The 23131-nt window shown below is 42.1% G+C and overlaps 1 protein-coding gene across 1 annotated transcript, besides 12 other annotated features; it reads right to left on the bottom strand.

The window, feature by feature from the left end:
* Positions 8353–8549: a silencer, noted in NCBI's record as "fragment chrX:13005300-13005496 (GRCh37/hg19 assembly coordinates)". NCBI's record gives its function as "represses an EF-1alpha promoter that drives an FKBP-Casp9 reporter gene in an ReSE screen in HepG2 liver carcinoma cells {active_cell/tissue: HepG2}" and the evidence as "EXISTENCE:reporter gene assay evidence [ECO:0000049][PMID:32094911]".
* Positions 10368–11029: a transcriptional cis regulatory region, noted in NCBI's record as "candidate enhancer chrX.240 targeted for multiplex CRISPR interference". NCBI's record gives its function as "positively regulates TMSB4X gene expression in K562 cells {active_cell/tissue: K562}" and the evidence as "EXISTENCE:mutant phenotype evidence [ECO:0000015][PMID:30612741]".
* Positions 10368–11133: a biological region, named in NCBI's record as "CRISPRi-validated cis-regulatory element chrX.240". NCBI's record gives its function as "regulatory_interactions: TMSB4X".
* Positions 10954–11133: an enhancer, noted in NCBI's record as "active region_29425". NCBI's record gives its function as "activates an Ori minimal core promoter by ATAC-STARR-seq in GM12878 lymphoblastoid cells {active_cell/tissue: GM12878}" and the evidence as "EXISTENCE:reporter gene assay evidence [ECO:0000049][PMID:35858748]".
* Positions 16148–16207: an enhancer, noted in NCBI's record as "active region_29424". NCBI's record gives its function as "activates an Ori minimal core promoter by ATAC-STARR-seq in GM12878 lymphoblastoid cells {active_cell/tissue: GM12878}" and the evidence as "EXISTENCE:reporter gene assay evidence [ECO:0000049][PMID:35858748]".
* Positions 17162–17454: a transcriptional cis regulatory region, noted in NCBI's record as "candidate enhancer chrX.239 targeted for multiplex CRISPR interference". NCBI's record gives its function as "positively regulates TMSB4X gene expression with high confidence in K562 cells {active_cell/tissue: K562}" and the evidence as "EXISTENCE:mutant phenotype evidence [ECO:0000015][PMID:30612741]".
* Positions 17808–17927: an enhancer, noted in NCBI's record as "active region_29423". NCBI's record gives its function as "activates an Ori minimal core promoter by ATAC-STARR-seq in GM12878 lymphoblastoid cells {active_cell/tissue: GM12878}" and the evidence as "EXISTENCE:reporter gene assay evidence [ECO:0000049][PMID:35858748]".
* On the bottom strand, positions 18507–20620 carry TMSB4X (thymosin beta 4 X-linked). Its single transcript, NM_021109.4, has 3 exons — positions 20562–20620; positions 19369–19484; positions 18507–18953 (listed from the first exon to the last, which is right to left on the bottom strand). Exons 2-3 carry the CDS (start codon positions 19466–19468, stop codon positions 18919–18921), a joined length of 135 nt encoding a protein of 44 aa, NP_066932.1. The 5' UTR covers positions 19469–19484; positions 20562–20620; the 3' UTR covers positions 18507–18918.
* Positions 19063–19901: an enhancer, noted in NCBI's record as "H3K27ac hESC enhancer chrX:12993948-12994786 (GRCh37/hg19 assembly coordinates)". NCBI's record gives its function as "activates a minimal SCP1, AML or CMV promoter by ChIP-STARR-seq in naive H9 embryonic stem cells {active_cell/tissue: H9 hESC(naive)}" and the evidence as "EXISTENCE:reporter gene assay evidence [ECO:0000049][PMID:30033119]".
* Positions 20741–21580: an enhancer, noted in NCBI's record as "H3K27ac hESC enhancer chrX:12992269-12993108 (GRCh37/hg19 assembly coordinates)". NCBI's record gives its function as "activates a minimal SCP1, AML or CMV promoter by ChIP-STARR-seq in primed H9 embryonic stem cells {active_cell/tissue: H9 hESC(primed)}" and the evidence as "EXISTENCE:reporter gene assay evidence [ECO:0000049][PMID:30033119]".
* Positions 21704–21823: an enhancer, noted in NCBI's record as "active region_29422". NCBI's record gives its function as "activates an Ori minimal core promoter by ATAC-STARR-seq in GM12878 lymphoblastoid cells {active_cell/tissue: GM12878}" and the evidence as "EXISTENCE:reporter gene assay evidence [ECO:0000049][PMID:35858748]".
* Positions 21844–22103: an enhancer, noted in NCBI's record as "active region_29421". NCBI's record gives its function as "activates an Ori minimal core promoter by ATAC-STARR-seq in GM12878 lymphoblastoid cells {active_cell/tissue: GM12878}" and the evidence as "EXISTENCE:reporter gene assay evidence [ECO:0000049][PMID:35858748]".
* Positions 22114–22183: an enhancer, noted in NCBI's record as "active region_29420". NCBI's record gives its function as "activates an Ori minimal core promoter by ATAC-STARR-seq in GM12878 lymphoblastoid cells {active_cell/tissue: GM12878}" and the evidence as "EXISTENCE:reporter gene assay evidence [ECO:0000049][PMID:35858748]".

Here is a 23131-nt window from a genome sequence, read left to right as displayed (position 1 = left end):
AGATCCTCTCCCTCCTCCCATCCTCCACCCTTCAATAGGCCCCAGTGTGTGTTGTTCCCCTCTATGTGTCCACGTGTTCTCATCATTTAGCTCCCACTTATAAGTGAGAACACACGGTACTTGGTTTTTTGTTACTGCATTAGTTTGCTAAGGATAATGGCTTCCAGCTCCATCCATGTCCCTACAAAGGATATGATCTCGTTCTTTTCTATGGCTGCATAGTATTCCATGGTGCATATGTACCACATTTTCTTTATCCAGTCTACCATTGATGGACATTTAGGTTGAGTCCACATTTTTGATATTGTGAATAGTGCTGCAGTGAACATATGCGTGCATGTATCTTTATAATAGAATGATTTATATTCCTTTGGGCATATACCCAATAATGGGATTGCTGGATCAAATGGTAGGAGAATGTCATATAATTTCTGCATGCCAAGAAATAGTATTCTTCTTTTCATTTGTTTTCCAGTCCTTTAAAAATGTAAATACTGTTCTCAGCTCTCAGGTTGTAGAAAAACAGGTAGCTAACCGTTTTGTGCTCTTGGGCCAGAGATTGCTGACTCCTGATTTATAATGAGATGCTATCAGAGTTAATGACTTAATCATTGTGGAAGGTATTTCTCTTTATGGAATAAAAAATGTTATGGATACAAAAGTAGCAGTAGGTATATAGATATGTATTAAATTAGCAAAAGATGCCCTTATAATGGTCAGGTCCACAAATCATGCTACATCTTCAAAGAGGAGACTGATTTGACTTTTGCTAATGGAACTGGTTCTACATGTGCATTTCATTCTGCACAATAAACTCAAGAAACTGAAATATGTCTTGTGGTTCTTACAACTGAAGATCCAGATAGTCTATTAAAATTACCAGAGTCCTTTAGACTATTTTTTAATAATTTAATTAATTTTTTTTTAGAGACGGGGCCTTACTATGTTGCCTAGGCTGGTCTCAATCTCCTGGACTCAAGCAATTCTCCTACCTCAGCCTCCCAAGCAACTGAGACTACAGGCATGCACTATCAGGCCTGGCTCCTTTATACTCTTTAACATACACAAGTCAGTATTATGAAAAATGGCCATGTGATGGCAGAATCCTTAAATATGATTGGTGGCAATCAACCAAGATAATCAAGTGACCCAGCCATATTCAGATCACTGCCAACTTAAGATAATCATGGACAAACTCATACGTCTGGTTTTTCCACTTCCTCATCTATTGCTTTGAGTGCAAATATACAGTTTAATCTCTGATATAGCTGACCTTAACGTCCTGCTGGCATTATGTTATAAAACAAACAAGCGTAGCTTTAAAAGACGTAAAGGATTGGATTACCAGTGTTTGCATATTCTTAGAAAAGGTATCTCCTTAGCCAATGGGAAACATGGCAAGTGTCAGTCCCATTTCTCAGAGTCCAAATTCTTAGGTGTTAAATTACTATAGGTGTAATATTGCCTTTTACAAACATCAAAAAGAAGAGAAAGGAAAGAAAGAGGGAGGGAGAGAAAGAGAGAAAGATGTGGACCATTTTTCTAGAACTAAACAGAAAAATGTTCTCAAAATTCTGTCTTGTCCTAGTGGACTGTCAAGGCTTTGCTTGGTGCTTGGCTACACAATTTGTATGCCATTGTATCCATTATGGTGTAATATGTTGATGGATAATGAAAAATCAGGAGTATCCACTTGGGCGGTCTGGCAAGAATTCAGTTTAAAGTAAATATAAGCTCTCTGGAGATATCTACCAGAAGAAGTGTTCTTTTTAAAGCTCATTGTTTGTTTTAATCCAGTGGAGAAAAAAAGAGATAAAAACTAAGGAGTAAGATCTATAAAGAGAAAGTACAAATATTAAGACTGTCAAATGGAAAAAGACAGGGAATGAACTCAAGGCCAATTTAGACTTTTCAGATTGTCCTGGCAAAATTCTCCTTAAAGTGAAGGATAAGGCCCATCAGACCACAATTCCCTAGTTTAACTTAGTAAGACTTAATAAGAAATCTATTGGTATATGTCCTTATTGTGGTTTCAAATACAAATTTTTATTTTATTTTTCATCATATTAAAGTGAAATGACTATATATGTGTGTATGTGTTCACATGTATGATGTGTATGTATATATATGTATACACACATACATTTATATTTAGATATACACACATGCATTTGGAAAGGTAAAGTGCAGGGAAGAATATACAAACTATTACTAACCAAATCCACTGCCCAAGGTTAACTAATGCCTTCTATTTTTAAGGAGAAGTGGTGTTAGGAAGTATTATTTTCATTAATACAAAAACTTCAACTCTTTTGAACTGGAAGAGCCAAAGAAGGTTAATAGGCCAACATCTAGCTAGACAAATTTGGAAACTCTAATCTACAGGGGTCATGACATAACCTAGGCCACCCAAATCCTCACATATTCAATCAGGATAAGAAATCAGTCTTCTAATTCATAGCCCAGTTCATAAAGGGCAAAAAATTTCAGGTAACAGTTATAAGCAAGAATCAAAATCTGTCCTCAGCCCTGGAAGAGCTGCAATTTACAAAATACCAGCTTCCTGGCAAAATGAGACCTTGACGCCGAAAAGAATTAGTGTTCCTTAAGTTTTGTAGTTCTCTAATTACAGAGAGGCTTTTTAGACTTACCTCCAGAGGTTTTAATATTGCTACCTTAATTTATAGCTGTTCTTTACTTTTAATAGTCAAATGAAAGTTTTAATTATAATCAAGCAAGTCTTCATACAAAAAGATAGCACTGCTGGCTCTCCTTCAAGAGAACATGTGCTTTCAGTTATTTTCTGGGAGGCTGGGGAGGAGAGGACAGAGAGCATTTACCCACTCCGATTCAAACAGTATACATTTGTACAAGGTCTCTCTGGACAAAGCTAGGACTGAGACTATGAATATGGAATCAAACAGAATTAAGAAGCCCTTGTCAAACCTATAGTCTTGATTTTAGCTGCATTATACACTAAACAACCTGTCATATCCTGCTGCAAATAGAAAACAGGTCTTTACCACGTTAACGTTTGGTCTGCACAAGAACAGTACATGAGGAGTATTGAATTATAAAAAACAAATTTATGTTGAATACTCGATATCCAATAAAAAGATGTTATCTTTTTGTTGTTTGGCTTTATGAAATAAACTTTAAGAACAGAGTTCCCATTTATTCCTCATCCAATTTCTCCATTGTTAAACTCTTATGGCATGGTATACTTGTCACAACTAAGAAATTAACCATAGTACAAAATTGTTGGCTGGGCTCATTGGCTCATGCCTGTAATCCCAACACTTTGGGAGGTCGAAGAAGGTGGATCGTTTCAGGTCAGGAGTTCAAGACCAGCCTGGCCAACATGGTGAAACCCTGTCTCTACTAAAAGTACACAAATTAGCTGGGCATGGTGGTGCATGCCTGTAGTCCCAGCTACTCGGGAGGCTGAGGCAGGAGAATCGCTTGATCCTGGGAGGTGGAGGTTGTGGGTGAGCCAAGATTGTGCCACTGCACTACGGTCTGGGCAACAGAGTAAGACCCTGTCTCAAAAAAAAAAAAAAAAAGTATGAAATTATTAACAAAACTCAAGACTTTATTCCAATTTCATCAGATTTTCTGTTAAATATCTTCCTTAAATACTTCTTTCTTCTCTCTGTTCTGTTCTTGCTGTTCATAGAATAGCACATTGCATTTAGTTGTCATGTCCCCTTGGTCTTCTCTCCTCTGTGAGTTTTTTTTTTTTTTTTTGTCTTTTCATGACCTTGACAATTTTCAGCAGTACCAGTAAGCTATATTGTAGAATGTCCCTCAATTTGGGTTTGCCTGATGTTTTCTCCATTAGACTGATGTCAGAGCTCAGACACAATACCGCAAAATATGGTGCCTTGTCACAACGAATACTTTGAACTGAAGGAGATTGACAGGGCCTCAGAAACAAGATCTCTCTCTGACCTTCTCCTACTCTTCTTTCTCCTGTTCCTCTTTCTCCCCCAAAGGAAGCCATAGAAACTAGAACTCCTGTTCTTCAGATCAAGCCACAGAGCCTGGAAGTATTAAATGTCTTCGCCTTTCTGTGTAGGAGCTGATCATAAAGAAATTCTCTGACCTACCTTGTCTGACTGTAGGTCATAAGACCCTCACTCCAGAGGGGTCCTGCTCCATACTCAGGAGGAAGGAAAGCTACACAGAGAGACCAAGAAGAATTGGAATAGAGAGGCCTTACTGGGTTTCCCACCTTAGTCTGTTACCATTAGATGATACCCTTTTGTCCAATCACATTGCTGCATGGCTGTCCATTCTTCGTTGAACCTAAGCATGAAATGGAAAGTTTTCCCTGGGTCTTTGGCTCTTCATTTCTGAAGGCTCTTGTGTCACGTAAAACTTTGATTAAATAAATGTGTACGTTTTTTCCTGTTAATCTGTCTTTGTCAGTTTTATTTCAGACCTAGCCATGAACCCTAGGAGCACTGAGGAAACTTTTCCTCTTGTACACTGGGGATATGGGTTTTTGGAGTCAGTGAAGTGCCCTTCTCATCACAACATATTGGAGGGTACATGATGTCTGCATGACATCACTCGTGATGTTAGTCTTCATCAGTTAGTTAAAGGGGTGTTTGCCAAATTTCTCTACTGTAATATTACTGTTTTTCCCTTCTGGTTCCATACAAGGATTTTTGTCAGTAAGTTACTAAATCTAGCCCGCCTTCAAGTGTGAATGTTGGGGAGATTAATCTCTCCCTCCTAGAGGAGAGAGCATCTACATAGAATATTTGTCAAATCAAAGAGGGGGCTTTCCAGGATGAGGGAAGACAGGTCTTGTCTACTTGGGTATTTGAATAAAAAAAGGAAAAGGGCATTTGTACATCCATGAGAGTTAGCCACGTTTTTTCCTGACTAAGCAATGCCATTTACTGTAATGCTAATTTTCTTTAAATTTAAAAGTATTGTATTGGCATTTTAGTTGCACCTTTACGTTTCTTATTTTTGAGTCATTTTGGGGGGTTATATTTTATATACTATGTCAATTGTCTTAGCCCATTTTCTGTGGCTTATGACAGAATACTTGAAACTGGATAATTTATAGAGAAAATGATTTTTTTCTATTTATTTGCTATTATTATTCCTTAGATACAGGGTCTCTCTCTGTCACTCAGGCTGGAATGCAGTGGTGCATGATAGCTCACTGCACCCTCAAACTACTGGGCTCAGCCTCCTGAGTAGCTAGGACCACTGGTGCATGCCATCATGCCCAGCTAATTAAAATTTTTTTTTTTTTTTTTTTTTTTTTTAGAAACGGGATCTTGCTGTGTTGCTTAGGCTGGTCTCCAACTCCTAGCCTCCAGTAATCCTCCCACCTTTTCCTCCCAAAGCACTGGGATTACAGGCATGAGCCACCATGCCCGGACAGAATTTATTTCTTACAGTTATGGAGGCTGGTCCCAGGTTGAAGGGCCACATCTGGGGTGAGGGCCTTCTTGTCAGTGGGGACTCTCTGCAGAGTCCTGAGGCGGTACAGGGCATCACATGGCAAGGGGGCTGAGCATGCTAGCTGAGGTCTCTCTTCCTCTTCTTATAAAGCCACCAGTCCCCTCACATCACAACCCATTAATTCATTAATCTGTGAATGAATTAGTCCGTTCTTGAGGGTAGGGCCCTATGATTCAATCAATTCTTAATGGCCCCTCCTCTCAATTCCGCCACATTGGGGATTAAGTTTCAACATGAGTTTTAGAGGGGACAAACATTTAAACCATAGCATCAGTAGAGGTGTAAAGTCGTCAAGAGGAGTTGGGAAGAGATGCCTGCAGCCAGCATTTTATAGTATTTCCACCATACAGATATAGTAGATGTAAGTAACCCTAAGAGCATAGTAATAGTAAAATGTGTAAAATAATTAGGCGGTGATGCATTTTAAGCATTTATTACCTTTACTTTTCATATAATTTATTTTATTGTAAGTTTATATCATTTAATAGTGACTTCGTTTAACAACCGGCTCTCAATTTTCCAAAAACTTTCACAAGCAGCTCTTGCCACTAACACTATTATTAGAAAACATCTGGAATGATTCACATAAAACTGTTCACAGTAGCTATCTCTGGAAAATGAGTTGAAAGAGGAACTTTCCCTTTCTCTTTCAGTCCATTCTATACTGTTTGATTTATTTGAAACAAATAAATATGCATTATTCTTGTAATAACAATGTTAAGTTTAAGAATATTATATTAGGAAGATGATTTATAATACCAACTGTGTAAGAGGAGGGGACATTACAACTATATATTTGTTTTTGCATATATATCGGAGGTTAAACAAGAAACTAATAAAAAGCATTATCCCAAGAGAGTGAGGGCAATCAGTCGAATGGGACTGTATTTTTCATATTCTTTTGATATTTGAACCACATAAATGGATGTGTTCCAAAAAGTTTAACAATTAAAAACACTTTAAAAAGATCATCTGCTGCTCCACCCTAAAAAAACACAAGAGAAATTTCTATTAATTATTATTACATATTGAGGACTCTGCCTCTTTGGAGGACAAGTCTCCCTGAAATCATAAACTTTTTCTTTATTTCCATAACAAACTCATGGTCAGGGTGTCTTGAAAATGACTTTAGGGGTGAGTCATTGTTCAGGTATGCAGCTGTGTTAGCACTGGCCTCGAGACTCAGATAATACAGGGCACAATTGTTATAAGCAAACAGCAGTACGTGGATGAAGATATTTTTTCCAGGTAGAAAATGGAAGAGGGCCAGACACCCTTGAAGCGCTCTACCTTTTCATTCCTCTCACGCTGGTGTTAGGAAGGTGTGTTTGACCAGTAGAATGGGTGATGTTTGTTTAAGGCTTACGGAAACGTAGGCACCTGACCAAAATCAATCTCGCAATTTTTTTTTTTTTTTTAGATGGAGTTTCACTCTTTTTGCCCAGGCTGGAGTGCAATGCTGCAACCTCGGCTCACTGCAACCTCCAACTCCCAGGTTCAAGCGATTCTCCTCCCTCAGCTTCCCGAGTAGTTGGGATTACAGTTGTGCACCACCATGCCCGGCTAATTTTGTATTTTTAGTAGAGACAGGGTTTCTCCATGTTGCTCAGGCTGGTCTCAAACTCCTGACCTCAGGTGATCTGTCTGCCTCAGCCTCCCAAAGTGCTGGGATTACAAGTGTGAGCCACCACGCTTGGCCAAGCTCGCAATTTTGAGACCACCTCTTGATTCTCAGAGGAAGAGCAGAGGCCTTCTTCCTATGGTGCACTTGCAGAAGTGACAGTTCTGAATGCCGCGCCCAATTATTCCAGTTGTGTTTAGTTTTCCTTTATAATGCAAACATCTGTTATCTAGCAGGAACCTGAAAAGGATTTGCCTCTGCCTGATTCCTCGACACCTCAAGCCTTTGTTGTAGCCCCACAGAACTAATGACAGACATTTCTCTGCCAGATTACGAGAACTGAATAATATTTTTGGTCAATCAAAATTAATGTTAAAGATCTAGTATGAACTGAACATGAATGTGGTTTACATACATGTATCTCTATTCTCTTTTAAAATCACAGCCATAACACACGAGGATGTCAGTTGCAAACAAGCCCTAAGCCGACTCTTAAAGACTGAAATGACAGCACAAGCTTGCATCAGCCACATTCTCAAAGTCTTTGAAAATGTTCCTTGCAACATTGCACCTCTATAATGTTGTGTCTAGTCAGGCAGGACAAGCCCATGGGCCAACATATAGAAGCTACTGTTATTTTTATTATTGTTAGCATATAAATTTTGAAATTGCATTTTTGTTGGTTTATACATACAGGTTAGAACATAAGAAAATGGTAAGTCACATTAGAAGAAATGATAGGGGCCAGGCGCAGTAGTTCATGCCTATAATCCCAGCACTTTGGGAAGCCAATGCAGGCGGATCACCTGAGGTCAGGGGTTCAAGATCAGCCTGGCCAACATGGTGAAACCCCATCTCTAATAAAACTACAAAAATTAGCAGGGCGTGGTGGCACACACCTGTAGTCCCAGCTACCTAGGAGGCTGAGGCAGGATAATTGCTTGAACCTGAGGGGCGGAGGTTGCAGTGAGCCGAGATCACGCCATTGCACTCCAGCCTGGGTGACAAAGTGAAACTCCGTCTCAAAAAAAAAAAAAAAAAAGAAATGATAGTGTCATAAATTCACCGTTTTTGCTGACATCATAGAAAAAATCAATTCAGGCAGGAATCATCAATAAGTGCCAAAACTACTTGGTGGAAGTTTGAGGAAGAACAGGAGACTTGAGCCTGAGCCTCCAACTATCCTCCCCCAGGTTACTTACTAATTACAGTGGGAAAAATGATAGCCTTACAATGCAGAAATCTGGTGGCAACCATCTAGACAAGTGATCCAAGTTATCAATGAATGGGACAAATCGGCATCACGTGCGTCCTGATGTGAGGCACCAGGAAGGACACAACATCCTTTATCGGTTTTCCTACCCCGAATTATCTGACTCTAATCATGAAAAAAACAACAGGCAAACCCAAAATGATAGAAATTCTACAAACCAGTTGGTTCATATTCTTCAAAAATGTGACTGTCTTGAAAGAAAAAGAGCAGCTGAGGAATTGTTCCTGGTTAAAGAGACATGACAGCTCAATGTGATGCATGATCCTGGATTGGATCCCAGATGAGGAGGAAGAAAAGGGCTGTAAAGGACAATGGAGCAACTGGCAACATTTAAATATGGACTTTATGTTAGATAACAATATCACAGCATTGATGTTAAAATTCCTGAATTTAATCATTGCACTGTGGTTATGTAAGATAATATTCTTGTTCTTAGGAAATATAAGCTGAGGGACCTTCAAAGGGTTCAGAAAATGGTTCAGAAAAAAAAGAGGTGAGAGAGAAAGTAAATGTGGTAAAATGTTAACAATTAGTGAATCTGAGTAAAGGATATAGGGAATTCTTTTAACTATTCTTGCAACTCTTCTGTAAATTTGAAATTACGATTTTTTTTTAAAGTTAACACAGTGACTCACATGACTTCTTGGGAGAGGAAGAAAGTAGCACCATGTTCTAAGTCTTTGCTGAGACACTGGGCCCTGAAACAGAAGCAAGAGTTGGAGCAGGAATGAGCAGCTATCTGGGGTTTCTGTTTGCAGAGATAAGACGAGGTGAAGCTCAGAACTCAAAAGAAATCTAGAAACTAAAGACCTAGCCTCTAGTCTGTAGAGTGAAGTCAGACACCAAAAGAGGTAAGCAAAAGATTCAAACCAGGGAGCAACAACACTTACGGGGTAAGAGAGAAAAGGCAATCAGAGATGTTGGTGGAATAGAGAAGCCAGAGACTAAAAATGGTGAGAGAGGAGAGGGTTTCAGAAAGTAGAGTGTGGTCAGCATTGTCAAAAGCTACTTTATTAGTCAGGGTTCTCTAGAGGGACAGAACTGAGTTTATTAAGTATTAACTCACATAATCACAATGTCCCACAGTAGGCCATCTGCAAGCTGAGGAGCAAGGAAAGCCAGTCCAAGTCCCAAAACTGAAGAACCTGGAGTCTGATGTTCGAGGGCAGGAAGCATCCAGCACAGAAGAAAGATGTAGGCTGGGAGGCTAGGCCAGTCTAGTCTTCTCATGTTTTTCTGCCTGCTTTATATTCTAGCCATGCTGGCAGCTGATTAAAGGTGCCCACCCAGATTAAGGGTGGGTCTGCCTTTCCCAGCCCACTGACTCAAATGTTAATCTTTTTTGGCAACACCCTCACAGACACACCCAGGATCAATACTTTGCATCCTTCAATCCAATCAAGTTGACACTCAGTATTAACCATCACAGCTACCCAGAGAAAAAATTAGCTGGGGTATGGTGGCATGTACCTGTAGTCCCAGCTACTTGGGAGGCTGAGGCAGGAGGATCATCTGAGCCTGGGAGTTGGAGAGGCTGCAATGAACCAAGATTGCACCACTGCACTCCAGCCTGAGTGACAGAGTGAGACCCTGTCACACACACACACACACACACACACACACATACACACACACACACACACAAGGCTACAAAGAGGTCAAGAAGTATTTCATGTAATAATAGTGCATTGATTTGTGAACTAAGAGGCTGTTGTAATAATAAAGGAGACCATATACTGAGCACCTACAATGTACATATTTCCTTCAACTCTCACAGCAACCCCATGTGTCATGGCCATCCCCTTCCACATTAGGCAGGTGAGAAGAGTGAAGCTCATAGAAGTTACGAAGTTTCTGAAGGTGGCACAGCTAATAGTAAGTTGACCAGGAACAAGTGACAAATTTTGAGGTGACAGCATGGCAAAGTGTATATTTTATCTGTTAGTACTTGGGAGCCTGGGTGAAAAAATGGCAAACAGGTTCTTGGAGTGGATTCAGGACTGGGGCATGAAGGAAGACTTCAGCTGGACATGGGGAGGAAAGGGTTTAAAATCAATCTGAAGTGAGTGATTAGGAGTCGAAGCTAGACAGAGAAAAGAAAGGAATTGAGGCCATAAGCAGGCAGGAGGCTGGGGGATGGAAGTCTTGACAAGTGTGAGTCTGACTCACACTGAAAGAAACATTGTACATCACAGATCAGTCATCTCTCCCCCTCATAAATAACTCAAACAGAAGTTTGATAAACAATAGTTACCCTTACCATGCTGGGGAGTTCTGAAAATTCTTGCTTGATTTCTTTTTAGTGATTTATTTTGTCTTTTTTTTTTTTTAATTTTTGTTTTCAATGCTGGCAAGAATCAATAAATTGATTTCCTACGACACAGCCTGTGGTTTGAAAACCACACTCTGGGTAGGGTGTGGCCTGAAGTGTGGTAGCGCTGGGGTGGGGATAGAGGTTAGAATGGTAGCCAGCTGTCTGGTTTGGATCTTTCTCAGCCTTCTTTTCTTGGCTAAGCCTGGCCCCTTACAGTTTTCCCTCAGCTGCTCCTGTGGTCTAAAGCCCTAACTCACCCTCCCAACTCGAATGAGATCCTACTTGGAAACACCTGTGGTACAAAGAATGGTGGCAGGGGGCCAAGTCACAACCGGCCTTGGCCAAGCCAAATGCCTTAGGCATTCTAGACATACATAAATGTCAACATCATACATGGGTATCTGTCAGCTTCCAGGAGAGGAGAGAGAACATGAATCCTCCCTGTTTCAAAGGAATATGGTCAAAAGTGTGGAGTAGCCTTCTTTGGGGCAGATAGTTCTTAATGTCTATGTTAGATTCAATTGACCTCACCTCTTTCTAATCTGAAGGATTTATTATTTGAATGGGTTGAGGACTTAAATGGATTTTATTTTTGGTATCCATCTCTCCTGTTGGGAAACTTCATGACTTATTTCAGAAAAGAAGCCCTGATAGGCGGAAGGTTCCAAACATTAGATGCCAATATGTTTGTTCTCGATGCATGTTGCATGTATATTTATACACCTGTTATAACACGGAGCTTATACAGAGAAAGTCAGTGGAACCTTAGAGGAATGCCTTAGGCATGCACGTATGGCTTTGAGAATTTACATTTGCATATATGAACTCACGGTGCTCTCACCTTCCTAGCTCAAGTTATCAATGATATTTGAAATGACAAATTCAGGGTTATATAATTACTATCCTTTCTTCAAAAAAAACCCATTCAGATTATATTCTTTTTTACTTTCTTTTCTTTTAAATTTTGTGACTGACCTCTCTAATTACTTAGGGTAGTATATGCACTTCTTTTCCCACATGGTATTTTTCACTGCTCTTGAGGAAGCACAACTGTTTTCTGCCATGACCACCTGTGTTATTCATCCCTGTAATCACAGGAAACAAATAACCAATTACAAACCTTTCATTTTCCTTCCTTCCATACCCCTTTCTCTTCACCCACTTATGGGTCCTATAAGTTTTTCCATATTGGTCCTTAAATCACTGGATAATGTTCTGATTAATGTCGAAAATCTTCAGTTATCCTCTCTCCTTCCACAGACCCACTCATTCGGTAAAATGTCCCTGCCCACAGTGCTGACCGACTGATCATTTCAACCATCGCACTACAGTGCCTCTACTAGACAACCCACTAATGACGATTTATAGTGGGTTAAATAGCAGCCCTCCCCCCACCAAAGATCTGTCCATATCAAATCCCTGGAACCTGTGAATGCTAACTTACTTGGGAAAGAGTTTTTTTTGCAGATGTAATTAAGGATCTTGAGATGAGATCATCCTGGATGACCCAGGTGGGCCCTAAATCCAATGAGAAGTGCCCCTATAAGAGAAAGACGAGGAGAAGACACAGACGCAGAGAAGGCGACGTGAAAATGGAAGTGGACATTGAAGTGACGCAGTCACAAACCAAGGAATACCTGGAGCCACTGGAAGCTGAAAGATGCAAGGAAGGATTCTCTCCTTGAGCCTTTGGAGAGAATCCGGCTCTGCCGACACCTTGATATCGGGCTGCTGGCTTCCAAAACATGAGAGCATATATTTCTGTTGTTTTCAGCCCCCAAGTTTGTAGGGATTGGTTACAGCTGCCCCAGGAACATAATACATGATTGAAGACCAGCTTTTAATGTACAAACCCTAGTACAAGGCACTGCAAACCTCAGAGATCTCCACACAAAAATGTAATTTTAACCATTTCAAATTGATTAAACTTCTTTCCGCTCCAGTATAAAAGTTGATACCAAATGACCATGAAGTGTTCATAATATAGAGGTGTTACAAGCCCATCTTTTCGAAATGTGGACCAAGAAATACCAATAAAAGTAAGATTTAGCACCTTCTTGTATGACGTTGCTGCAACACTGATGATGTCAATATGCTTTTTCAGTGACAAGTATGGACAGTCTCTTCTTCGCCCTCCTTCCCTATAGCTACATTTCTAAACAAGAAGGGTCTACAGACTGCCTCATGTGGATGAAATGATTTTACTTCTAATATCTCCCAATTACCTAAGGGTAATTTTCAAACTCCTTAGCCTGGCTCAGGGGCCCTTCACAATCTGGTTCCAGGCTATCTCCTGGCTCAGTGTCTTACCTGGCAAAAACAGAAGCTGGGTGAATCGTAGTTGGATAAATGAATGGATATCTGGCTCAGGCCGGATACGGCTGTTCATTCGCACAGGTTTTCCTCTCCCATAGACCAAGAGTAGGCCCGGGCCTTATTCAACTTCCTATTCCAGCAACTTGGAAAGAGCCAGGCAGACACTAGGTGCTCAGTAAACGTTTGTTGAGTAAAGAATGACTCTTTCTAATTAGCCAGGCATGGTGGTACACACCTGTGGTCCCAGCTACTCAGGAGGCTGAGGTGGGAGGATTGCTTGAGTCTGGGAGGTCGAGGCTGCAATGAGCCATGATCGTGCCACTGCACTTACACTACAGCCTGGGTGACAGAGTGAGACCCTGCCTCAAAAAAAAAAAGAATGACTCTACCCTCCAAGTAAGCAAGTCATTTTAAGTAGAAACAACCATGTGGCATTCCATATATATTTTTTAATCTTTTGAAATATTTTTGTTTCTAGATTAAGAAAATGCTATCACAAAGTCTCTGTGTGGTCAAAGGTATCAGCCACTTACAGCGCTCAATGTGGTAATGAGGAAAGGCATAATTTCCTGTGGTTTGACAATAACGTGACAGGAATAGCTCCAACTGCTTTGAATAGATTATTGTCCCCCTCCATTGAAGTTCCAAACTGTGGAATCCTACTAAACAAATGTGACCAGCCCTCAGCCAGCCAGGTGCTGTGCTTATGGATACACGTGGTCATCATGTTGCTTGGTTCTCTGAGGGATTTCAAAATTTGAGCAACCATTTCAGCCCCCAGTAATCATACAGTTGAATTGGAAAGAGAAGGCAAACAGAGGAAGGGGAAGGATTTAGCAGTAAGAAGTGTTTCTCTGGAGATTCAACATCTAAGCCACAAAATCCTAGCAAAAGATAGATTTTAAAATGCTATCTATCCAGGTTGGGTGTGGTGGCTCACACCTGTAATCCCAGCACTTTGGGAGGTGGAGGCAGGGGGATCACTTGAGGCCATGAGCTTGAGACCAGCCTGAACAACATAACAAAACTCTGTCTCTACAAAAAGAAAAAAAAAAATTTTTTTTAAATTAGCCAGGGCTGGTGGCACATGCCTGTAGTCCTAGCTACTCAGGAGGCTGAGGTGGGAGGATCACTTGAGCCCAGGAGTTTGAGGCTATAGTGCAGCTATAATAGGGCCACTGCACTCCAGCCTGGGCAATAGAGCAAGACCCTGCCCAGAAAAACAACAACAACAACAAAACGCTATTCATTCAGTCCATTTTTAGACCTTGGGCATTCCTCAGCAAGGATTCTCAAAAAATAACAGGCAAGAGTTATCATGCCCAATCTTTCTATGCTAATAGAATATTTGATTGCAAGGTGAAGAATCAGTTTCCTTCAAAATTCACTCACCATTGAACTTTTGGAGGGATTTGAATTAATCATTCTAGATACATTTGGAAAAATGGCCACTGTAAAGCAAAGAATAGGTATTAAACCTCATTTAGAAATCCAAAGCCCTTAGACTCATCATGTACCCTAAAAATGGAAAAGAATAATTTCTTAGTATTTTCCACTTGGAGTCAGATGAAAAATGCATTTAACTAATGGAGGGCACAGGAGGGCAGGGACTACATCTTATTTACAACCGTGTCTCTGTGGCAAATGAATTACCTGGCATGAACTGGTGGAGTGAACTAATGATCCAGTGCTCTGGCTTCATAATATGGAGTTGGCTATAAGTATTGATTCAAATCAGCACAGCCGGCCAGGCGCGTTGGCTCAAGCCTGTAATCCTAGCACTTTGGGAGGCCGAGGCGGGCGGATTGCCTGAGCTCAGGAGTTCGAGACCAGCCTAGGCAACATGGTGAAACCCCCGTCTCTGTTAAAATACAGAAAAAAAAAAAAAATTAGCCCAGCATGGCAGCATGCGTCTGTAGTCCCAGCTACTTGGGAGGCTGAGGCAGGAGAATTGCTTGAACCCAGGAGGTGGAGGTTGCAGTGAGCCGAGATTGTGCCACTGCACTCCAGCCTGGCGACAGAGTGAGACTCCATCTCAAAAAACAAAAACAAAAACAAAAAACTCAGCACAACCAAAGTCAGGCAAATTGCTGTTCAAAGCTCTTTAAATATATTTGTTAAAAACATATTTAAAATTGTGATGTCTAACATGACATTCACATGTTCAAAGGGACCCCCAAACCAGCATGTTAAATGAAGTCTCGACTGGGCGTGGTCGCTCACACCTGTAACCCCAGCTCTTTGGGAGGCTGAGGCAGTTGGATTGCTTGAGCTCGGGAGTTTGAGACGAGCCTGGGCAACATGGCGAAATAAAAAATAAAAAAAAAAAAATTAGCCAGGCATGGTGGCGCATGCCTGTGGTCCCAGCTACTCGGAAGGCTGAGGTGGGAGGATCCCTTGAGCCTGGGAGGCGGAGGTTGCAGTGAGCCGAGATTGCGCCACTGCCCTCCTGCCTGTGACAGAGAGAGACCCCATCTCAAAAAAAATAAAAATAAAAAAAAATGAAGTCTCCATCAAGTAAGGGGAGAAGTGTGCTTTGAGGCACAGAAGGAAGAGTGCGTGGTGTATGCACACAGTGAATGTGGCATGCACCAGCCCTGCCTACAAAAGTCTCAGAAGCCAGGGGCAAAGATGGTATTAGCACGACAATGTGATTACAGAAATAAAATGCTATGCAAGTGTCCAAGGAAAATATAAACTAGGTAAATACAGGTCTTAGAAACATATTTTCTTCCTAGCTTGCTTTGTTGTATATCTCTGCCTTACATTTGTAATTTCACCCCTTCTCATTACATGCAGAGAAAACCTAGTTGAGTCCCAAATTGGTGTGTTTGATTCTCTTAGATTGCAGTGTAAGCCACTCTTGAAAGTGTAATCGAAAAGAAAGGATTTGGGGAGTGTGGAGTGCGGAGGGTGGTTTTTTCTTATTTTCTTGCTAGGCTAGTGAAGGCTACTAGGGTAAATGAAGCATTGAGTGCTTTCAACGTTTTTAAACAACGTTTGAAGTTTCCATTCTTGAACAAAGAAAGACTCAAGATTTTTTATTTTTACTCTTTGTCTGTAATATTGTCTCCAAAACGCTCTGTTCTTTCTCGTTAGCACAAAATTGACCCCATATGTTTAGAAAAAAAAAATGCAAAAATATTTTCTTTTTGTCTCTTGAGGAATTAGATGCTTCTTTGGGGGAAAATAAACAGACCTTCCTTGTGCATTTAAAGGAGACAATACCTGATTCTGACTATAATGGGTCTCTTACACAGCCGAGAGACTCAAAGTTTGTGAAGATTTTGAACCCCACCTCCCCCCCATACACACTCAATCTTTGCATACACAGCCCAAAAGCTGTGTTGTTCTCCTGAAAGAATAAAATAGCTTTAAAATTCCAACCACTGGAAGGCTGCAAATGTGGCTGTGATGGTTGACAAATTTGCGAGATTTCAAAATGAAGCCAGCTCAATCTCAAAGGTCCTTTAGTGAGTCTCTTTTTATTTCCTTTATTTTTGCTTTATTTGTCTTGGTCAATTCAAAATTTGCAGAAATCCCAGACTAAACTGTGTGACCTTCGGGGCTTACTTAAGCTACCTTGGCCTGTTTTGTCCTGGGGGGAAGAGAAACAGTCATAGGGTCTCCTTCAATCCCAACGTTCTCTCATTCTAAGGGTAAACCTAATGTCCTCTTTGTATCTGTGAAAAATACTGTCGACTCCCAAGTCCTACATAGCAGGAACATATATCCCCACACTGACTCATAAATACCCCCAGCCCTTCTGGGAAGAATCTCTCTTGGGAAAAACAAAGAATCCCCCATCAAAATTAAAAAAATAAATTCTCTCCCATCCCCGTGTGCAGCAGTTAAGTGTACAGAGTGTGATATGGGCAGAAGCTTCTGAATTTCCCCATTCCACACGTCAAGCAGCCTGAATTCAATCATTACCATTTTACTTTTTTTTTTTTGTGCTATGTTTTAGCTTCGTCCCTCTAGGGGAGAAAGGTCTTTTAGTCCATGAATTATCCCTTTTCCTAAATGTTCCTTCTTCAACTGAGGAACACTGGAGCTGTGTTAATTTCTTAAAATCTTCTTTCGTCTTTGCATTGTTTGAAAAAGGCACACAGCAAAAGCCCACGTGGGAATGGTTTCTCTTTGTGCCTTGGGCATTTGCACTGTGCCCACACCCTTCCCTATAGGCAAGAAAACTACAGGGCTCCAGGCCCGTCTCCATCTTGAGATGGCTCCAGAACCTTTGTGCTTACTCCTCTCTTCACGGAGCTAAGCGGGCTGTGGCGCTTCAGGTTTTGTAGCAGCCTCTGCAGCAGCCTGTACACACCCCTTCCCTTGCAACGCAGAGCAAGGCTTCTAGCCTGATGGTCTACTTGATTGTCTAAACCACAGGTAAATGGTTTCCTGTGCATTTCTCAAAATAAGCGTTGAGCAAAGGAAATGAAAGCAACCAATTTAATAGTGATCAACAATTTTCCCTACCCCTCCGCTTCAAAAAGGGTATTTTCATAAATCGGTTTTGAGAGAAAAATGTTTAACTTCTTGGACATTTGCGTTGTAAAATTTAGCTTTGCAGAACATTCAGTGAACTAAGAGCCTTCTTAAATGCTGTTGTTTCGGCTTAATAAAACTGGTGCTTATTTAAAAAAAAAAGTCTCCACCCTTCCCTACAGAACCGAGGAATCCATTAAGGACCTTATAGAATGGCAAATCTTTTTTTAACTCTTAAAAAATTGACGTTGTTTCCGTCTTCCCGCACCAAGGACTTTGCTTTTACCCATCAGTGAAAATAACTACTTCCGATGATTGAGAAGTTATCAAGGACTCAAAGACCTAAATGTGAGTCAATTAATTCCCGCTGGATTTAAACTTAGTACAAATCTCACCTGTGTCCTGCTAGTGTCCTTTAAACCCAAAAGATCGAATAAGTATCTTTTAAATCCAAAGATTATTCAAATGAAGAGGACCCAATAAATTTAAAATCATGTTCACTAATCTTAACTGTATTCATTAAAGCAATTGTAAATATTGAACTCTGATTAGAAACCGGCCATTAGAAAATGAGTAAGCTCAAGTCCTAAATTCCTTCTTAACGCAGCTGCTAAAAATGTAATTTTTACTCATCTATGTTAATGCTAGCACTTGGTTAAATAACCAAGTTCAATTTGATACCCTGAAATAAGATACTGTGCTGTAAATTATCACCTTCATTTTCTTGAGCACGTGCAATGTCAGCTTATCAAAACCCGTAAGAACTGCAAAGATATTTTTATTAAAGCTCTCACACAATTCATACTAGGAATTCAATCAGCCTGAGAAAATGATCTCCTAGTATAGACAAGGTATTTTGCATACCTGGGTGAAACCCATTTCTATGCCATAAGGGAATTTATCCAGTCACCAGATGCTTGTCCCTCCCCAATGGACCAAGAGGTAGGCCTCTTTGCAAAGGTTTCATCCGCGATCCTTCCAGAAACCAAACAGACACACCAGCTAAGTTTTTAAACTTTTTATTTGCATATTAAAAAAATTGTGCATTCCAATAATTAAAATCATTTGAACAAAAAAAAAAATGGCACTCTGATTAAACTGCATTACAGCCTGCAGGACACCTTGGGCCAGCTTGGTTTTACTCTAGATTTCACTGTCGTCCCACCCCACTTCTTCCACCCCACTTCTTCCTTCACCAACATGCAAGTTCTTTCCTTCCCTGCCAGCCAGATAGATAGACAGATGGGAAAGGCAGGCGCGGCCTTCGTTGTCAGTAGTTCTTTGATGTGAAAGGGGCAGCACAGTCATTTAAACTTGATCCAACCTCTTTGCATCTTACAAAGTTAAACAGCTAAAAGAAGTAAAATAAGAAGGCAATGCTTGTGGAATGTACAGTGCATATTGGCGGCGCACGCCTCATTACGATTCGCCTGCTTGCTTCTCCTGTTCAATCGCTGTGACCAGAAAAAAAAAAAAAAAAAAGATGGAGGGAGATGATTAAAGGATTCAGTACAGACTAAAGGGCTTTCATTTAAAGCATCTTTTCAAATCATAAACATTCTACACGGTATTCCACAATGGAATAAAATATGTATATTGAATATACTAAATAGAAATACATTTTAATGGATAAATGTTTGTATATTAATATGGCATATTAAATATTCCATTACTAAATTACTAAAGCCCCGTGTTTGTTGGCTGCAAAACCATTTTTAATTAACCTTTGCAAGCCACATTCATCAACTGTCGGCTCTTCCCCCGCACTCCCCCCTCCCGAATTCTTCCCGCGGCCGCTCCCAGCCTCCCGCCCTCCCACCGGCCGCTCCCACCCAGCCTTTCTAAAGATGGGGGTGGGTCGGAGCTCACTTTCTTTGGAAGGCAGTGGATTTTTCTCTTGCGTCTCTGTCTTCTTCAGTTTCGACTTATCGAATTTCTCGATCTCAGCCATATCGGGTTTGTCAGACATGGTTGCGGAGGAAAAGCTGCAGGGAGCAAGCCAAGAGCGAGCGTGAGGAAGAGCCACCCGCCCCGCTGTCTCTGGGCTGGGAACTGCACTTCTGCCCTCCGACCCGCAGCCTGAAAAAAACCCTTCTCGCTCTCCTACTGCTGCCGTTCCGCGCTCACGAGCTTCCTCTTTCTACAGAAAAAGAGGCGACACCCCCCGCGCCCCTCCTCCCCATATTTCAAAACGCTGTGGACCAAAGAGGGCGGATGCCTCTCAAAGCCGAATCTTGCAGAATAAAGGAAATTGACCACTGCGAATTGTTAATTACAGCGTTTAAAATTAAAGGCTGGCTAGGACAAGGAAAGAAGAGGAAAGCCACTTCCAAATTCAAGTGGGAAAAATCGGCAAGAATTCCTAAAATGGAGCCCAGGTAGGAAAAGCGTTTCCATTTCCTAGCCGCGGCCTCTCCGCAAGGATGCGGGCCGGATCCGGCTTTCTAGTCCTCTCACAAAGGCGGCGGCCGCGGCTGGAGCTTCCGACCACCGCCCTACCGGCTTCATCGCCCGCGTCACAATGCAGCCCCGCACACAAAGCGGCCGCCGCGCGCCCCGAAGCCGGTCTTGCCTGCTCTCCCGGCAATTCGGCATCCCTGGCACACATGTCTCTGCAAGAAGGACTGTAAAGATGTCATAGCACAGCCCCGCCGCCGCCAGGCTGCACAGATGCAGCCCGCGCAGCCGTCCGAGGCTGGGAGGAGGCTCGGGGCTCGGAAGATGAACCTCAGAACAAAGGACTTGTCTATTCCCCCATATCTCAGCCTCCAAGGCAACGCACAATACCTTTGCGGGCAAACACTAAGAAATTTTTTAATGTCCCCTCCGAGCGGCACGGCAAAACGCCAGTTTTTCGGTTTTGTTCTTAAATCATCGATTTCCCCACCCCATTATCCAGTATCTAGGGTGTTTCGCATCCCCCCAGCTCCCCAAAGTAGCCTTCCCGGGGAGAACCACTCGGGCTCGGATTTAGGGAATGCCTTCACAGGGACGCGGATGATGAAAGGGCGGGGACGGAGGCAGGACGGCAGGAGGAAGGAGGCAGGGGCCCTGGGGCTCACCGAAGCGAGGCGCACGAGTACGAGCGAAGTCTGGTCTGCGCAGTGGCCACCACCGAGTTGTCGGGCGGGGTGCGGCGGGCGCAGCTTTATGGGCGCTCCTATGTAAATGAGGTGATGTCACCCGCCGGCCCGCTTAACTCCTTCGCGCCGCGTCTCGGAACGGCATCCGGAGGCCTGCCGGGCTTTTGGGGAGGGGAGCCCCACCCCCACCCGGGGTCCACTAGTGCATGCACCCTAACCACAACGATGGCGAAAAAAATGAGCAAAGCACCCTCCAACACTTCATAACACATTTTCCCCTTTTACGTTTATTTCATTACGATGAATTTTTGCAACAGCAGCGCAGAAATTGCTCTTGGGGACCAGTGCATAATAACTAAGGGTCGGGGTGGCACCTGGGGTGACAGGCATTCTTTTATTTCGAAACTGCCTTTGTCTACTGTGGACATCTCCACACAAGGGCGCGGTGTCCCTCCCTGGAGGGCCTGGCCCGCTGCAGGGGTACGATTCCTGTGACTCAGCTTTCAGTCCAGTGGCGGGCATGCGCCCCACCCCGGGCCTCTTTGTCTTCCTCGCTGGCGTTCCTCTTGCCTTGGGTGGGACGTAAAGCACCCTTAAGTGATTTTAAAAGAGAAAGTTTCATCACTGAAACATCCATATTGTTTCATCAGCATAATTTTTGTGAGCACTCAACAGTAGTATTTGCTGGGTGTAAGGTAATTTGGAGTTTATAGGGTAAAACACCTCCCTCTTAGCAAAATAAGTCAAGCTCAAGCTCTGCCATTGACTTTACTGCCGGACAATGAGGAAGTTCTTTACCTTCCTCTTCCTTATTTTCATAAATTTTAAAAGTGATGGCTAAGGAGGCCAGCGTTGAATTCCAAAGACTACAGTTACATTATCTCTAATGTCTTAAGATGAAATTCAAAAATCAAATTATATTTTCAAGGGAGCGTTTCCAGCACTAGGACATCGCTGAAGTGCATCTGCATCTGGAAATATAAGAGATTCGGGTAGAGGGAAGCAGTTTTCAAAATGGCACCTGACTCTGTGAATACCAGTGACCCACTTGCTACTGAAAATTAGTTACAAATACCATGCCACGCGCCTGCAAATGGCGTGTGAAAGGAAAAAGACTCGCCGGTTATAAAGAGGCCTAGCTGTGATTATTTCTAAGAGACAAGGCAGTGTGCAAAATATTCCTTCTCCTTTTCCGTGGCCTGGGGAAATGTTTTTAGAAACCCCTTGCTAATCATTTTTATGGCACAGGCTTTTGTCTCGCTGGGGATTAGAGTCAACCTTATATATAGACCCTTGAATGCCACTGCCAGCAGCTTGGACTTCCCCGTTTCTCCATCTACTTGACTTCCTTTTTCCTGGGGAGGAAGGAGGTGGGGGTGAGCAGGGGCAGGTGACCGTCTGGTCCCCTAGTTAATGCTCTGCTGGGTGGCTGCCTTCCTGGCCTCCGAATGGGGCACTGGACCTGTTCGTGCATGCACCAAATGTCACCTGTCTGGTAACAGCCCCCCCGCCCCTGTTCCATGTTGGGAGTCTACTTCATCGTTGAAACACAGAAAAGATCTTGCAGGGTGCCTTTTCGCCCGTTTAGCTGGCAGCTGCCGTTGTACCGACACCGTTTCCGCAGGTTCTGTGATTCTGTTTCCCCTCACCCAGCTGCTGTCGAAAATCATTTCTTTCCTCCCAATGTCTCCTGATGACAAAGGAGTGCCACTACCTTCTCCTGGCTTCTTCTCCCAAGGGCCTTTCCTCAGAAAGGGTTAGGCCTCACTGAAGCAATTCTCCAAAGGAGATGGACGAATGCAAACTTGGAAATGTCTGGAGAAGTTTTCCAGTGCGGTAGCAAGCAGCCTTCCACTGTGCTGAGACACTGATGGAGGGCAGGTGGAAACAGAGAGGAAGAGAAAGAGAGACGACTGCTTAAAGGAAAAGAGTTCCCATGATTGGGACTGACCTGCCAACCGGTCAGGAGACCTAGAGAGACAGGAAAGGGAAGGGTGGTGCAGATACAAGGAAATGCAAACCAAAGGAATATTCTTAAAAGTTGCATGACTCTGGCCATGTGAATGAATCTTTCTGTGCTGGAGTTTTCTCATCTGTAAAATGGGTTCATTGCAACACCGACCTCACAGGGTTGTTGGGAGGAGTAAATGCTTCGGACAGTGCATGACAATTAGTAAGCTCTTTCTATTGTTATTATTCGTATGATTTAGGATGGAAGGTTGAGGAAAAATAATAAAATAATTGTCTTAGTGTTTAGAATTAATTAAAAATTTTAGGTGTCTTGATATTATTTCTCCTATAGAGACATTTATATATTATTATATATTATTTCTATATAATTAATACATATGAATATATATTATTATTTTCACTTACAAAATGTTGATAGAAGATCTTTTGGTAGTTTTACAGCAAATAAAACATGACAACTCCTGTCGGTTGATATTTTCTAAGAGTCAGGCATTGTAACGTAAGTTTTACATTTGTTTTTTCCTTTCTTTCCCACCGCCTTTCCATAAGAAATTTCCAGATGGGGAAACTGAGGCTTA

The sequence above is a fragment of the Homo sapiens genome, chromosome X, assembly GCF_000001405.40.
Source record: "Homo sapiens chromosome X, GRCh38.p14 Primary Assembly".
Lineage (NCBI taxonomy): Eukaryota > Metazoa > Chordata > Mammalia > Primates > Hominidae > Homo > Homo sapiens.
The sequence above is the reverse complement of the archived record's forward strand: the minus strand, read 5'-3'. Positions and strand labels throughout refer to the sequence as shown.

Coding starts and splice junctions, on each gene's coding strand:
- TMSB4X (NM_021109.4), bottom strand. CDS start 19,468: ATGTCTGACAAACCCGATATGGCTGAGATCGAGAAATTCGATAAGTCG. Junction 18,954..19,368: donor TCCACTGCCTTCCAAAGAAA/GTGAGCTCCGAC, acceptor TTCTGGTCACAG/CGATTGAACAGGAGAAGCAA.